The following is a 17,039-nucleotide window of genomic DNA, read 5'->3' on the forward strand; positions in this document are numbered from 1 at the left end:
ACAGGCTGGGCACCCCTGTCTCCAGCACCCCACCTCCAAGCAGGCCTATCCCAGCTGCTTTTGCCTGGAATAGCTCCTCCTTTACCAGCCTCCATCCTTCAAAGCCCAGCTCAGGGTTGCTCCCCACCAAACCTCCCTTGACATCACCCCACCATTAGAGTTAGCTTGTCTCTCCCTGTATCCTTGCAGCAAATCACTCATCTGTTGTGGGAGAGGCCTGTGCTGGAACTGCTGTACACTCCTATCTCACTCAAGCCTCATAACAACCCTCAAGAGAGGTTATCAGGGCCATTTTGAAGGTAAGGAGACTCATCCTCAATGCATAGGGCTAGGTCAGTCACCTCAAGTTAGGGCAGAGCTAGGTTCACTCAGACCCCTGTCTCTGCCTTTAGAGACGTTGATGCCCTTGTTGCAACCCCAGTGGCTTGTGTGCACAGAGATCAGGGCTGCGTTTGATGTATCTGGGCCCTGGATGCCCCCGTCTCCTACCCATCTCTCCTCTTGTTTCAGATGCAGCCAGCTGTAGGGTTGCCTTTTCCAATGCAGCCTTCCCTCACTCCCACTGAGAGTAACTGCTCCTTTTCTGCACATCCTCATGCCCCAGAATCAATGGCCTGACTCTTCTGCTTCTCCAACCATACTCAGACATCCTCCTCCAAGTGCCCAGGCCGTGGTCCTGCACATGGATCCTTAATCAGCTTTGTTCAATGTATTTTAATATTTATTTTAATTTGCTTGCATTATCTTTCTTTCTATTAATATTCATTATTTTTCTTTACCTTCTTTTATAATGTTGGTTTTTTATCCCATTGATACATGTCCAAATTGTAAAAAATTTAGGAAAGAATAAAAATCACCCCAAATTGTTATAGATAATCATATTAACATTTTGGTAGATTATTATTTTTTGGGTCTGGTTTCTGTAGATGTATGCATTTTACAGAGTTGAGATTACATTGTATGAATAGTTCTAAAGACTGCTTTTAAAAATCTAACATTATACCATGGATATTTTCCCCATGTCATTAAAAAGTACATGTGCCACACCCACTGGGAAGGCTCTGATAAAGAAGACAGATAATAACAAAATGTGGCGAATCGGAACCTTCATACAATGCTGGTGGGAATGTAACATGGTACAGCCCCTTTGGAAAACAGTTTGGAGGTCCCTCAAATAGGTAAGCATAGGGTTACCATAAGACCCAGAAGTTTCACTGCTAGGTATATATTCAAGAGAAATAAAAACATGTGTCCACACACAAAACTTGTACAGAATGTTCATAGCAGCATTATTTATAATAGCTTAAAAAATTGAAACAACATAAATGTCCACCAATGAATGAATGGATCAATGAAATGTGATATATCCACACAATGGAATATGATTCAGTCACAAAAAGGAATGAAGTACTGATACATACTACAACATAGATGGACCTTAAAAACATTATGCTAAATCAAAGAAGCCAGACGCAGAAGATCACATATTGTATGACTCCACTCATACAAAATATCTAGAATAGACAAATCTATAGAGACAGAAAGTAAATGTATAGGCTGGGGGATGGGGAGGTCTGGGGAGAAATGAAGAGTGTCAGCTAATGGGCATGGAGTTTTGTTAGGGGGAGATGAAAATGTTATAAAATTGACTGTGCTGGTTCAAAACTTTGTGTATATACTGAAAGCCATTGAATTGTATACTTTAAATGGGTGAATTGTATGATATATAAATTACATATCAATAAAGCTGTCATAAATAATTAAAAACAAAAGACAGTAGCATTTTTAATGTCTGTAGACATTATTCCTTTGCACAGCTGCATCATAATTTATTTAGATTTATATTGCTAGACCTTTATGTTTTCTATTAATTCTTTCATTTCAAAATATTTCAAACACACATGAAAATGAATCGAACGGTGTAATGAACCCCTGTGCCCGTGACCCACTTCGACAATTACCAACACAGTTTCTGCTTTTACACACATTGATTCGATGAACATTTTGTTTGTCTTTGTCCACATTCCACACTGTTTCCTTTCATTTATGCTGAATTCAATTCCACTCAAACCACTTCCTCAAACCCTCACAATGCCCTCCCAGCATGCCTAGTGATATGATGGATCCGACCTTGCCCTACCCGGTCTGGTGGGGGCTACCGGTCTGGTGGGGGAGGTGGATACTGGATTGGAGTGATCGGTAGGGATGGAGGGTGTGTAAGTGGAGAGAGCCCTCACCCTATTACCCAGGAAGGGCACTTCACACTGGACTCACCCCACCCAGAGATGCCCATCCACCTCTGCCCAGCCCTGCCTTTCTCCCCTGCTGCCACACGGAGGCGACAGAGCAACCCTTCCACAGCTGCCTCTGGACGTTCTCCCATCAGCAACGTGGATGGGTGGCTGAGGTGGGATCTGTGCCTTCTGCAGATGATCCCGGCCTGGTGATGGCCCTCTTTTGGGCTGAGACTCCTCACGCGGAAGATGATGGAGGTGGATGTTGTGAGTCCTCTGGTCCTCCAGCACTTCAATCCAGCCTCCCACGGCAAGCCAGTTCTCGGCAACTGTGTGCCTGGGGTTCCACTCCCAGCACCTGCTTCTGGATGGCCTGGGGGATCCACCTGGGTGCCCCTCCACTCCGGGTCCCAGGGGAGACTGACACCCACCCAGGCAACCACCTGCTTGTTACAGAGCCCTGCAGGAGGCAGCTCACCACCCACGAGGAGGGACTTAGGCAGCGGACTTGCTGAGGGGTAAGGGTCTGCCCCATGATGCCTCACAGCTCCACCTTCTGGGAGCCACCCACGTGTGGGCAGCCTCAGGGGACTCCAGCTCCAGGAGCAAGATCGGGTTGTGGATGGAGGAAGGGTAAGTGAGTCACTGGGCACTTCCGAAGGCCCAGCCTAAACGATGTCCGGCCCGGCCCAGAGGAGATCTGGTCTCCAGTGGGCATGGCCTGCAGGACCGTGAGGGCTGATGTGTCTGGCATAGCTGAGGGCTGAGTCAAGGGACAGGGTGTTTGCTTTCCTGAGAGGACTTCTCCGGAGTTGGGGCATCTCCAGCCTTGCAGCTTCTCCTGTCTCTGCCAAGGGAAAGGTGGTGGGCCAGTCTCTGAGCTCTGTTCAAATGTCCGTCCCTCCCTGGGTGCTCCCTCAGCTGCAACCCACTCCACGCTCCATGCCTTTTCACCACTTGTCCCCAGCCCTCCCCAGGATGCCTCCTTTAATCCAGTGAGCTGGCTGCTACCAGTCAGGGCACAAGTCACTCCCAAGCAGTTCAGTCCCTAGGGGAAGGAAGGGCCAGCTCACACATCTTGAGTGCCTGCTGTGTGCCAGGCAGGCCCGCGTGGCACACTTTGCGTTATTATTGCGTTTCTTTCTCACAGCAGAGCCTTGTGAGGCAAATATTATCACACTAATTTCACAAAGGAGGAAGTCAAAGCTGGCCCTGCAGTATGAAGACTCAAGCCCAGACTTGCTGGCTCCTGCCTGCATCTCCCTCCACCTGGGTCTCCTGTCTCCCTACCTGCGGAAAGCTCACACTCTGAATCATTGTGCATGGCTCTTACCCCGCCCACCCCATCCTTGCGGCTGCTCACCTCCTGCATCACCTGTGCCCACTCAACAGCACACATGCCCACAAGCTCACATGCACCAAGATGGGCGCACTGGGTGCACGGGTGCACATGCATATTCCAGTCCTTACTGCTGCTTATCAGCTGTGTGACCTTGAGCAAGTCACTTAACCTCTCTGAGCCTCGGTTTTCTCATCTCACAGGGGTTGTTATGAGAATTAAATAAGATACTGAGTGTAACATTTCTAGTACCTTCCCTGGGCATAGTGCTCAATAAAGATTATCTACTTTTTAAACTTTAGCTATTTTTATTTCATCATTATTGTATATGTGCATCTTTGTACACTTTTTACACATGTAACAAGAGACATGCAGTAGACACAGAGGCCCGGGGATTACCACACACACCTACTGCCCATGCAGGAACCCACAATAAACCAGCCAGCCACCTAGTATACTGGGTGCCCATATGCTCATGCCAGGCTCTACTGAAGATGGGAGTTGGGGTTACCTGTGGTAGGGATACCTGTGTATAGGAGAAGACGGGGCCCTGGCCTTGGGGTCCACCCAAGCTGCCCGGGAAATGAGTTTTGTGCTCAAAGTGTGATCTGCGGGCCAATCTGGGACCTTGTTAGAATCTTGAAGAATCTCATACCTGACCCCAGATCTTCTTCTGAATCATGATCTGTTTTGGTTTGTTTTTTTTTTTTTTTTTTTGAAACAGAGTCTTGCTCTGTCGCCCAGGCTGGAGTGAGTGCAGTGGCGCAATCTCAGCTCACTGCAAGTTCTGCCTCCCAGGTTCATGCCATTCTCCTGTCTCCTAGGACAATAGGCACCCACCACCACGCCTGGCTATTTTTTTTTTTTTTTAGTAGAGATGGGGTTTCACCGTGTTAGCCAGGATGGTCTTGATCTCCTGACCTCGTGATCCACCCACATCGGCTTCCCAAAGTGCTGGGATTACAGGTGTGAGCCACTGCGCCCCGCCCCGATTTTGTTTTGTTTTGTTTTTAGAGATGGGGTCTCGCTCTGTCAGCGACAGGCTCCAGTGCAGTAGTACAATCATACTCAATAGCACACTGCAGCCTTGAACTCCCAGGATCAAGCAATGCTTCTGCCTCAGCCTCCCAAGTAGCTGGGACTATAGGCACATGACGCCACATCCAGCTAATTTTTTAAAAAGTTTTTTGTAGAGATGGGGTGGGGTCTTGTTATGTTACCAGGACTGATCTCAAAGTCCTGGCCTCAAGTGATTCTCCCTCCTTGGCATCCCAAAGTGCTCGGATTATAGGCATGAGGTACCACACTCAGCCAGGATCTGCATTTTAAATAAGATTCTCAGAGCACTAAGGCAGAGCAGAGGAAAGTGGGTGGAGCTGCATGCCTGGGCAGGATGAGGCTGACTTTGGGCCTGTCCCAGGTGTCTCCAATCCACACCTCTATCAATCAGGCTAACACACCTCCTGGCTCCTCCTCTGCTCTTGGGAGTTGATGCTAAGGTGTGAGGTTATCCAGTTCAGCCTTGGAAGGACAGGCTGGCCCCCTCAATCCTGTTCTAGGAGAACAAAAATAGTGAAGTCTCTCCTTGGTTCCTCTCAGGGCTCTGAAGGGCTTGGGGCTGGGAGCCACATAGGATCCAAGAAACTAGCAGGGGGTGCCTCCTGCCCATCGATCCCCCTTCTGAACCATGTTCATCCTAGCTTGTGAATCTCCCCTCCCAGCCTCCGGGTAGGTCACTGCCAAAACTCTGGCTGACCTCTTCCATCTTGAGTGGGGTGTGGGCTCAGTCCCTTGGGGCCATGGGAGCCTGAAGCCTGGGCCAGATCCCCCCTCCCTATCCCTGTTGGGGCTAATTTTAGGGCTGCTTTGACAGCTGCCTCAGCTCAGCCTGGGTCAGTTCCCAGCCACTCACTGTTGGGGTCAGTTAGGGTCACCTAGGAGTGGGCCAGGCCAGCCCCACCTTTGGCTGCAAAAGATGAAACTAGAATCTTTGTCCCCTGTCCGCCCTCCCCACTGCCTGGAGAGTCCCACTGAGCTGACCTCCACGTCCCATGCCCTGTATGTGAAACCGCAGAGGAGCCCAGGATTTAGAACAGCCCATGGAGATCAAGACTGAGTATTGGTGCCTCCATGCCTGGAGGATGCAGACAGGTGAGGCCCCTTCTCAGCGGCCCTCTCTGATGCCAACCCAACACATATTTCTGAACTCAGTTACTGTGCAAGGCTGTCAGAGATTAGGAGCAGATGACACCTGGGATACTTTCTGTTTTTTGAGATGAGTCTCGCTTTGTCACCGAGGCTGGAGTGCAATGGCACAATTTCGGTTCACTGCAATCTCCGCCTTCCAGGTTCAAGCAATTCTCCCTGCCTCAGCCTCCCAAGTAGCTGGGATTACAGGCACCCACCATCACAACTGGCTAATTTTGTATTTTTATTAATTTTGTAATTTTGTATTTTTGGTAGAGATGGGTTTTCGCCATGTTGGCCAGGCTGGTCTGACCTCAGGTGATCTGCCCGCCTCAGCCTCCCAAAGTGCTGGGATTACAGGTGTGAGCCACCGTGCCCAGCCACACCTGGGATACTTTCTAGAGGGAGGATTTTAGCTTCTGAGAACAAAGGGATGGAGTCCTTCCTCTGTCACCAACGCTCTGGTCCTTGGTTTCCTCCCCTCGGAAAGGGTGTGGTGATACCTGCTCACAGACTAGCTGGGGGTACAGAGGAGGAGAAAAGGGCCGGAAAGCGTGCTGGGAACTCTGGAGTCTGCAGTGCCCACAGGGCCGCCACTCGGCTGGGGCCTAGGTTCTCTCCCATGAGAACCTAGAGGTTGAGCAGCTACCACAGTCTTCGCCCCAGCCTGCCCCCAGCCAGTAATGTTGCAGAAGAAAAGAGGAACAGATCTTGAAGCTGACGTGGGCGAAAGGGAAGGGAAATGCAAGCAGGGGCCACGGAGGGAAGCTATGGGTCTCCTTCCCCCACCTGCAGCCTTTGCTGCCTCTGTTACTACCTTCTGTCTTTCCAAATCCTCCCCTCATCTCCAGCTCCTGCTTCCTCCCTGACCCTAGGGGGCTAAATAAGATGGGACACTGAGCACCCTGTGGGGAGGTGAGCTGTCTGGTGGGCTTTGTTTAATTTTCCAGAGCCCCCTCTCTACATATAACCAAGGAACTTTCTAAAGACAGGGCTGGGCTTCAGTCCTCCAGGGGCAGCCCTGTGAACTGGGCTCAGAAAACCTCAGATTTGAACCCTCAACCCCATATCTGTCTGTGTTACCCTGAGCCAGGTGGGCCTCCCTCTGAATCCAGGTGCCTCATCCTCACACTGGCCCCATGAGGCCTTTGCAAGCTTCTGCCTGGTTCCTGGTTCTCATGGTGCCCCGGCCTTGTGTGTGAATGAGTGTGTGTGTGCACACTGGACTTTGCTGCACATGGTAGCCCACAATCAATATTGAATAGCCCACCTCAAATCCTTTTTGAAAGGCTGAGTACCTGAATAAATAGATAAATGTTGACTGAGTCTAAAAACACACATGCAGCCTGAGAAAAGCCTTGTTTATCCAGCCTCCCTAAATAAGGAGTCAATTCCCAGAGCGGACTCTCCAGATGATTCAGGATGGAGGAACCTAAAGATGTGGAAGAATAGAGGCCTCCTAGGTGGAGGGAACATCGTGAGCCACAGCTGAGAGCTGGAGGATACTTGGCTGCAAGTCGAACAGCCACATGAGATGAGCTGATAAGGCTGGCAGGGTCCAGAGCCTGGAGGGCCTCGAATGCCAGGCCAAGGAGCCAGACCTTATCCAGAGGGCAGTGGGAACCATGGAAGGGTTTTGAGCAGGGGAGTGACAAGGCTGGGTGTGTGGCCAGCAGGGTCCCTCTCTGGTTGCTGCATGAAGCATGGACTGAAGGCAGACAGCAGTGTCAAAGGGCCCTCTGCTTTTGAGGTTCAGGAGGAAAAGATGAAGGATGAAGTTGGGCAGTTCAGCGGAAGGTGAGAGGTGGACAGTCCCCAGGATAGCACAGAGGGGTGGCCAGGATTTAGTTAAGGATGGGAGGAGGGCAGGCAGAAAATGAGAGGAGGCTTGGTGGCTTCTGGGTTCCTGGCCCAGGTGACCGGCTGGTTGGTGATGCTCTTGCTGAGGTTGTGACAGGAAGAGCAGGTCTGGGGAAAGATAAAGAGTTCATCAGCTTTGGACATGTCAGGGGAGCAGGCGTCCCAAAGGAGGATTGATTAGAGGGCTGGAGCCAGGTAAATGTGGACAGATTTTCCCTGAATGACATTTTACTGGATGACTTTAAAGTATCCCAAGTATCCTGGGGACAGTCTTTGGCACCAACTGCCTATGGTCCCCAAGACAGATAGGACCAGGACTTGGGTCCCAGAGAAGGGTCAGCAAAGGGTCTGACTAGGGTGAAGGGGAGGGTCTAAGATCCTTGGCTCAGGAGTACCCCCAGGGTAATGCAGGAGTGGCTGGCACAGAGGTTTAGAGGTAGATAAGGGGTAGGAAAAAGCCATGGGTGGGCTGAGCTGGCAAGCCTCAGAGACCAGTCAGCCCAGAACCATCATTGTACAGACAGACAGAGCCAGGCCCGGCAAGGCCTAGGGATCTGGCAGGTCACAAGTCAAGGCAGACAGGTCATCAGCTTCTGGCTCAGTGCTGTACCCTCAGCCCGACTGGCTGGGAGGGGTCAGCTCCGTGTGGGCCTGGGATTGAGCTCCTGGGCCACGTCTAGGTGCTGTGGGCTTGTGTGGTTCGGGTGGAAGCACTGGGGCAGGCAGATGAGAGCCCCACCCTGAGCAGCACCCTAAACCCACTGTCTGTCAGTCTGCCCCAACCCTGTGCTTTTACTTTCTCAGTCCCAGGACCCAGGCTGGGCTGTAATCAGAGGAGGGAACTGGAACCTGGACCGGGGGAACACAAAGCTCTGCACACAGCCAGTCTCCTGGCAGATGCTGAGATGCTCATGGGTGGGTGGGGGACTGTGGCATCAGGGGCCATGTTCCACACAAGGTGAAATGCAGTAAGGGCAATTTCCACAAAGCTTGTTGAGCCAGGTACTGTTTTATGATCTTGAAACAGTGAACAGGATTTATGTTCTAACTAGACATTGACAATAAGCAAACTAATACATAACATAACAATGGAAAGATGAGAGGAAGAAACAGAGCCCAGAGGGATGGGCACCTTCAGTGGGGAGCGGGGAATGGCCACTTGACAGAAGACCCCTGCAGGCCTGATGGGCTGAGTGATTTTAATTAAATCTATGTCCCTACCCCCGACCCATGTACCCCCACCCCGCCTGCCACCAGGCACTCCACCTTCTCCTCAGCTCTAGCTGCACCACTGGGAGTTCCTATTTTTTTTTTTTTTTTTTTTTTTTTTGAGACAGAGTCTCACTCTGTCACCCAGGCTAAAGTGCAGTGGTGCGAACTTGGCTCACTGCAACCTCCACCTCCCGAGTTCAAGCAATTCTCCTGCCTCAGCCTCCCAAGTAGCTGGGATTACAGGCTCCCGTCACCACACCCAGATAACTTTTGTATTTTTAGTAGAGACGGGGTTTCACCATGTTGGCCAGGCTCGTCTTGAACTCCTGACCCCAAGTGATCTGCCCGCTTCTGCCTCCCAAGGTGCTGGGATTACAGGTGTGAGCCACTGCACCCAGCCGCACCATTGGGAGTTTCTGAGGGCTGCCCTTGACTGGACCATTACCAGGGCCTGAGGAGGACTGTGGGGAAATGAGCCTCTCACAAGGTCTAGTCCCTCCCACAAAGTCCTGCCCAAGAGCCACCCCAACCTGCCCACTTGGCTCCTCCAACCTGGGAGCCAGGTAAGAGCTGAGGAGCCCCAGGGCCTTGGCACTGAGTCAGATGTAGCCTGGGAGGTGGAGGTGACTCACTTGGGGGTGTCAAGATCCAGGAAACCACAGCCCAGGGTCAGGGCAGAAACCTGGAGACTCCCTGCCTTGCCTTGCCCCAGAATGATGAATAGGAGGGCCCTGGCCTTTCCTAAGAAGCCCCCAGCCAAGGGTCCTCCTGCTGTCATGAAGGCCCAAGTTCCAGTCAAGTTGTTGAGAGGTGCCCAAGGACCTGCCAGTGCCTGCTTCCTCTGGGCCTCGGCCTCCTAGTCCACTTATAGTGGGGAGCAATGGGGCTAGATAAGCTTCAGTGTTCCTAGCAGCTCTGAATTTCTGTTTCGTTGAGTATGTTGCAGGAGGCCCACAACCTCTGATGGTTCCTGGGGGCTCAGGGCAGGGGTGAATGACAGATGCTGAAAAGCGGGGGTCAAGGGAGGGTTTGCAAGGTTTAGCAAATGTCAATACAGGATATGTTGTTAAATTTGAATTTCAGATTAGCAATGAATAACTTTTTAGTATAAGCACATGTCCCAAATATCCGTTATGTTAAAGAATTTTTCACTGTTTATCAGAAATTCAAATTTGACTGGGCGTCTTGTACTTTCTCCGGCCATGCTAGGTGGGAAAGGTAATTGGAGCTGGGACTTCATCAGAGGAAGGTCTTAGACTCAGACAACTGGAGCTCTCACCACCTCCCTTGCTGCCCTCAGGGTCCCTTATCCATGAACTTCTTGATTTGTTGGAAGGTAGGGGGATGAGGGAGTGAGAACCCTGGGGTTAGGGGAAACTAAGAGCTATGTAGAGAGGCAGAGAGACCCCAAGACCCCAAGAGGCAGCACCGGAACTCTTCCTGGCCTGCACTCAGCTAACCTCGCCACCTCTCTTCCCCAGAACTCCTGCAAAGCTCAACCTCATTCCTACTGCCATACCCTTGCTTGTTCCAGCCCTGCCTCTTTCCATCCTATGCAAACTTTACCCACAGCCTCTGCCAGGAGCCCTTTCTTGGCTATCCTTTAGCGTTGTGACTTCCTCCTCTGGGTTCCCAGAGTGCTGTCAGTCACCCTCCTCCTCATGGAGCTGTTCAATCAATGGAGCACCCTCTCTGGAGGAGGCTTTGGAGCAGACTCTGGGCAGTGATTAGGACAGTGGAGCCGACAGTGATCGGGACAGGCACAGCCCCTGCTCCATGGAGCACACGGTCTGGTGGGGAGGCAGACACACAATCACAAAACAGGAGAGAATGAATCGCCCTTTCACTGGGACCAACTGGTCCATGTCACTGAGGCTTTATGCAGGCAGAGGACACGTTCTGTTGTACTCGGGCCCTACCACAGAGCAGGCTTCAGTGAATATTAGTGGCATAAGTGAGAGTGCAATGATGCAACTAAAGCTGGGGATGGTGGGGACGCTGACTAAGTCTGAGAGGTCACCATGCAAACAGCCTGAACTCGGCACCTCCGGCCGTGGCCTGGACCTGGTGAGGCTTGGCATCATGGCATGCCATTGCTCATGAGAATCTGGCCCTGCAAGAGTCTGCATTTCCAGGGGTCAGGGACTGGATCTTCCTCTCCTCTCATTCCCTCTTGCCCTGGCCAATAACCTGACACAGGAGATGAATTGATAGAGAGCTGATAGATGGGAAATACTGTGTGGCTGTCCCACTGAGGCTGGAAGGACTAGTCACACCACATTGTTCTTTCTCCTCTGCATAGAATGTTGCTTGGGGCAATTTTAGTAGGTAGTCACAATCTCTTTCCAGTATTAGAAGAGATGAGTGACTTTCTCCCTGTATGCAGGTCCCAGTGGCGTTTAGCATCTGCTTGTCCAGACCCCTTCACAGCTGTGGTCGGGGACCCCGCAATGACTGTGACAGGGCCATGCCTACCTACCCTTCACTAAGCCCTGGCTAAATGAGCCAGGCCCCCCTACAGACACCATCTCCAGTGCCCAGATTAAAGAAGAAACTGAGGCTTGGGAAGTGTAGGTGCTACAGTGGCTAAGCCAGGATTTTAACTCAGATTTGTCTAATGCTGAGGCTCAAGCTCCTTCTGTTGCACTGAGCTGCCTCTATTTTTTAAAGTAACCTCTGAGATGTTACTTATTTTTGGAACTCAGAAACTCACTCCAGCTTTATCCCACTTTGATCTTTATGACTTAGGTTGCAGATGCCATCAAAGCTGTTGCTTCTCTGTGAACTGCAGCAGACTTTGCCCGGAGCAGTAAACTGTGGACGGAGGAAGGGAAGCAGGAAGGCAGGTTTGAGACTGGTTCCCCATGGGTTCACTGGCACTATCCTGGGTCGTCCCACCCTTCCTTCAGCCTGCCGCCCTGTCCTGAGTCATGCAGTTCCCTAGCACTCCTGGGACAGCTGAGCCCTGTGCATGCATGCACGCAGCATTCCCCTGCAGCCTGCGCTCACACCACCCCCCACGCACCACCCTCCACCTGGTCCTGGACATACTTCGCTACCTCAAGGTATCCAATGGCCAAAATCCAAGGCTACCACTGGGGAAGATTCTTCACGGGTTTGCAGTGTGCCATGTCTCCCCTGCTAGACTGTGAATGCCTCTAGGGCAGGGACCTTTCACCCTCTCATTTGTGTGCCCAATAAGCACCTACTATGTGCCAGGCACAGTGCTGGATGCCAGGGTATAATTGGAGCTGATGTGCAGTCAGTACACAATGGCACAGCTGTAGCAGCCCTGAGACCTCCAAGTGCTCCAGCACCCTGGCTGCCCCTTGGTGTACTGCCTGGGCCTCCTCACAGTCCTTCAATGAAAGGGCTAATGTTTGGCACACTGGAGGGCTCCAGGAGCTCATGTCACATTGGCTCATGTCTTAGACCTCCTGGACCTCCCTGGCCTCTGTAGGTATGTGCCTGATTCCGGGCAGGTTTGCACTGGGATAGACATGGGGCGGTTTCAGTGATGAGTCACCTGATGACAGCCCTGTAAAATATAAAGGAGTGCTGGGTACAGGCATGCACAAGACCTTGAGTGCTCCTCTGTGACAGTCTCCTCACCAGTAACTGTCTGAGTCAAGTCTGGCCATAGGCAAATCCATTGTCATCCTTTCCTCTCCCCCTGCTGGCTTCAAGATCCAGCCAGTTCTCTCTTTCTTTGCTGGCTTCTGTATCACTAATGGACTTGTGGCTTTGGGAGCAGGTGCCATTTCCCTGCAGGCTGTGGACTTCTTATCAGCTCCATCCAAGAGTTTTGACAGGAGCCTGAAGCCCTGTTTAAAGTCCCTGTCTTCTAGTGGAGTTTCACTGATTTTCTGGTTATGCCAGCTTCTGGTTCCAAGGTCATTGCCAGCCCTTAGTTCATGGGCAGAGCTGAGACCTTTGGCATGCTTGGTGCCCAGCTCAGGTTCCCAGGTCTGTCCCCCTACCCCAGGGGCTCCCACACACCCTGGGATGGTCTTCTAGGGCCTGTCCATGTGCAGTGTTCACAGTGGCAAAAACACAGCAACAACAGCACATGCAAACGCTCCCAGCAAAAGGTAGGAGGGTTTTACACTCCTGGACCAGGGCTGGAACAGCGTTGTTTATTAAGAACACGGACTTTAGATAATTCTATTGAGATTATACATGGAAAGCCCTTGTTTCAGTATCTGACACATACTAGGTGTTCAATAAATTACAACTATCATTAAAGGCACTTTGAGGAGAGCAGAATTTGCTATGATGGTTGATGATGTGGTAAAGGTAGTGATTCTTGATAGTGATTATGGAGTCTCACCACTGACAATGGCAACGATAGTTTTCCTTACCCAGGGAATGATATATCTCTCTGGGGATATTTACAGTAGGTTTGTAGGTCACATTTGATAAAGAGAGTCAAGAAGAGAAGGAAATATGTCCTATGGGTAATTTCTAGTTTGATTATGGAGACAAGATTCAGAGACACAAAAGAATTATAAGAGTTCTCCCACTTGACCTGGGAGCCAAGGGCTCGGGAAAGGGAGGCTCAAGGTTCCTAGCACAAGGTAATCATTCAAATATGATTCCCCAAAATGGCATTGACAGCCTTCGTCCTCTTTCCACTGTTGGTCACTGTTAGAACAGAAGGGAGGCTGGTGAGCCAGTGAACCCCTGCTTCTTTCTCCTGCTTACTTTCTCCCCGCAACTTGCCAGAGGTTCACAAACCTTCAGGTAAATGACATGACAGGGAATGTCACTGACAGAGGGTTAGGGGTGAAAATGTCAGGATGGGCAAGTATCAGACCCTCCTGGCCTTCCCCCAGCTGCTCCAGAGGAGTTTTGAGCTGAATTGCACCCCTAGCCACAGCGGAGCCCACTACTGTGCTCACAGAACCACTGTCGGAGAGTTTCGAGGACTCAGAGAGAACACAAACACCAGGAGACTGGAAATTCAACTTTCTTTCTTTTTTTTTTTTTTTTGAGGCAGAGTCTCACTCTGTTGCCCAGGCTGCAATGCAGTGGCACAATCTCGGCTCACTGCAACCTCCACCTCCCGGGTTCAAGCAATTCTCCTGCCTCAGCCTCCCAAGTAGCTGGGATTACAGGTGTGCACCACCACGCCCAGCTAATTTTTGTATTTTTAGTAGAGACAGGGTTTCACGATGTTGGCCAGGCTGGTCTCGAACTCCTGATCTCAAGTGATCTGCCTACCTCGGCCTCCCAAAGTGTTGGGATTGCAGGCGTGAGACACTGCACTGGCCTGGAGATTCAACTTTCAAAAGGTAAACGATGGAAACCACAGAGGAGAGACTTTTAGACCCTCTGCCAGTGACATTCCGGATTACCAATACCTTCAATAGTCCAGAACCTTATTACCTGTATTTTACAGTTGTGGAAACTGAGGGTCATAGGGTTTAAATAAACGAATAAGTGATAGAATCAGGATTTGAATGTAGGGTTGTCTATTCCAAATCATTCCTCTTAACCACTATCCTGCCAGTCGAAGCCATGGTGATGCCCTTCTGAGCAAATTGATGGTGTCTGTGATGCCCTTATGTACCAACCTTCTCTACTCAGCAGAGGAGGAAATGGCCCCTGGCTAGTGGGCGGGAGCATCAGTGGATATTATGCTGGATTAAGATGTCATTCTACTGTTGACTTAGAACATAACCATGGGGCCATGAGGCCGCACCCCTGTGGGAAGGCAGTGAAATGGCTCATCTAAAGTTCTTCCTGGTGTAAGTGCCCTGGGGAAGATGTGTGATCCAGGGCCTGGGAAGCAGAACTGCTGTAGGATCTTATGGCTACAGAAGAGAGACCCGGACTCTTTTTTTTTTTTTGAGACAGAGTCTCACTCTGTCACCCAGGCTGGAGTGCAGTGGCAATTCTTGGCTCAATGCAACCTCTGCCTCCCAAGTTCCAGTGATTCTCCTGCCTCAGCCTCCTGGGTAGCTGGGATTATAGGCACACACCACCACATGCGGCTAATTTTTGTATTTTTAGTAGAGATGCGGTTTCATCATGTTGGCCAGGCTGGTGTCGAACTCCTGAATTCAGGTGATCCACTATCTCGGCCTCCCAAAGTGCTGGGATTACAGGCACGAGCCACCGTGCCCGGCCAGACCCTGACTCTCATAGTCTGCACTTTTGAAGATATTGAAGATATTGGTGTCTATAAGGATGTCCCCAAGTCAGGGGCCTATCAAAAAGAGGCAGGTCAGGAACTAGAAGGGGAGGGTGGAGATCAGGCAAGGCCCTATGTTTCACTCTGGAGTCAGTTAGCACCTGGAGAACAAATGATACCTTACACAACAAACTGTTTAGTAGGTCACACTCCACCCCATTCATGTCCCCATTGTCACCTCTATCTGAACAGCCTGTTACAGCCATTTTAAGGAAGCAATTTTTAAGGATAATAATTTAAAATAAAATTTTAGAACAAGTAGACAAACTTCTTAAAAGAATAGTTTTTGATGCACAGAAAAGTTGCAAAGATGGTACAGAGGATTCTCGTATATCCTCACCCACTTTCCTCTACTGCTAACGTCTTATATTGGCCACGGCAAATGAACCAGTATTAGTAAATTATTATTAACTAAAATCCATACTTTATTTACATTTCCTTCGTTTTTACCTAATGTCCTTTTTCTGTCCCAGGATTCCATCCAAGGTGCCACGTTACACTTAAACATCATGCCTCCATCCTTTCTTCCTGGTCTGAGAGAGTTGCTCAGACTCTCCTGGTTTTTGATGATCTTGAGAGTTTTGAGTATTCATCATCAGGTATTGTGCAGACTGTTAATTTGGGCTTTGCTGTTGGTTTTCTCATGATTAGACTTGGTTGAGTTCTTGCGAGGAAGGTCACAGAGGTGAAGTGCCACTCTCATTGCATTATATCAAGGGAACATTCCATCAGCATGACTCATCACCATTGATAACAGGCTTGATCACATGACAGAGGGAGTGATTGTCAGACTTCTCCATGGCGAAGTTACTCAAAGGATGCATTCCAATCACTGAGATGGAAGGGGCAGTACCCCCTGGCAGTCTGTATGGTGGGAACCCATGAGAGAACCCACCCGATAGGTAAATTTCAGAGGGCAATGTTCAAGTTCTGGGTTCAACTGCCCCATCTCAGCATCTAAGGCTATGGGCTCTACCAGCACTGGCAGGAACCAGGTCTGATTCATTTCCATGTTCTCAATACCCAGCACAAGGTTGTCGGTTGAATGTATAACTGAATTTATTTTCTTTTGCAAATCATTTTTTATTGAGGTGAAATTCACATAATATACAATTAACCATTTTAAAGTGTATGTCTCAGTGGCATTTAGTACATTCACAGTATTGTGCAACCACCACCTCTATCTAGTTCATATATATATATATATATATTTTTTTTTTTTTTTTTTTTTTTCTGAGACAGGGTCTGTCTCTGTTACCCAAGCTGGAGTGCAGTGGTGTGGTCTCAGCTCACTGCAACCTCCACCTCCCAGGTTCAGGTGATCCTCCCACCTCAGCCTCCTGACTAGCTGGGACTACAGGCATGTGCCACCATGCCCAGCTAGTTTTTGTATTTTTTTGTATTATTTTTCACCACGTTGCCCAGGCTGGTCTTGAACTCCTGGGCTCAAGCAATCTGCCAGCCTCAGCCTCACAAAGTGCTGGGATTACAGCTGTGAGCCACTATGCCCATCTAAAACATTTTCATCACCCCAAAAGAAAACCTGCTTAAGCAGTCACTCTGTTTCCCCTACCCCTCAGCCCCTGGCGACCGCCAATCTGCTTTTTGCCTCTATGGATTTATTTATTCTGAATATTTCACATAGATGGAATCATATAATATGTGACTTTTGTATCTGGCTTCTTTCACTCAGCACAATATTTTTTTGAGGTTTGTCCATTTTGTAGCAGTATCAGAACTTTACTGCTCTTACGGTTGAGTAATATTTCATTGTATGAATGCCACATTGTTTATCCATTTATCTGTTGATGGACATTTAGGTTATTTCTACCTTTTGGCTATTGTGAATAGTGCTACTATGAACAATTCATGTATAGGTATCTGATTTCAATTATTTTGGGTGAATATTAATGCATGATTGGATTTTTAAAGAAGGTGGTATTTCCTCACAGGCTTTTAGGAAGCTGATCAAACTTATGGCTCTGGTTATGGGCCAGGGCCTGTGAGAAGG

General features: G+C 49.7%; 2 annotated features.

Annotated features, from left to right (window-relative positions):
- Window positions 2,287-2,336: an enhancer, noted in NCBI's record as "active region_5226". NCBI's record gives its function as "activates an Ori minimal core promoter by ATAC-STARR-seq in GM12878 lymphoblastoid cells {active_cell/tissue: GM12878}" and the evidence as "EXISTENCE:reporter gene assay evidence [ECO:0000049][PMID:35858748]".
- Window positions 15,608-15,902: an enhancer, noted in NCBI's record as "tiled region #14106; HepG2 Activating DNase unmatched - State 9:DNaseU, and K562 Activating non-DNase unmatched - State 9:DNaseU". NCBI's record gives its function as "activates a minimal TATA promoter and a strong SV40 promoter by Sharpr-MPRA in HepG2 and K562 cells {active_cell/tissue: HepG2 | K562}" and the evidence as "EXISTENCE:reporter gene assay evidence [ECO:0000049][PMID:27701403]".

This window comes from Homo sapiens, chromosome 11 (genome assembly GCF_000001405.40).
Source record: "Homo sapiens chromosome 11, GRCh38.p14 Primary Assembly".
NCBI classification, from domain to species: Eukaryota; Metazoa; Chordata; class Mammalia; order Primates; family Hominidae; genus Homo; species Homo sapiens.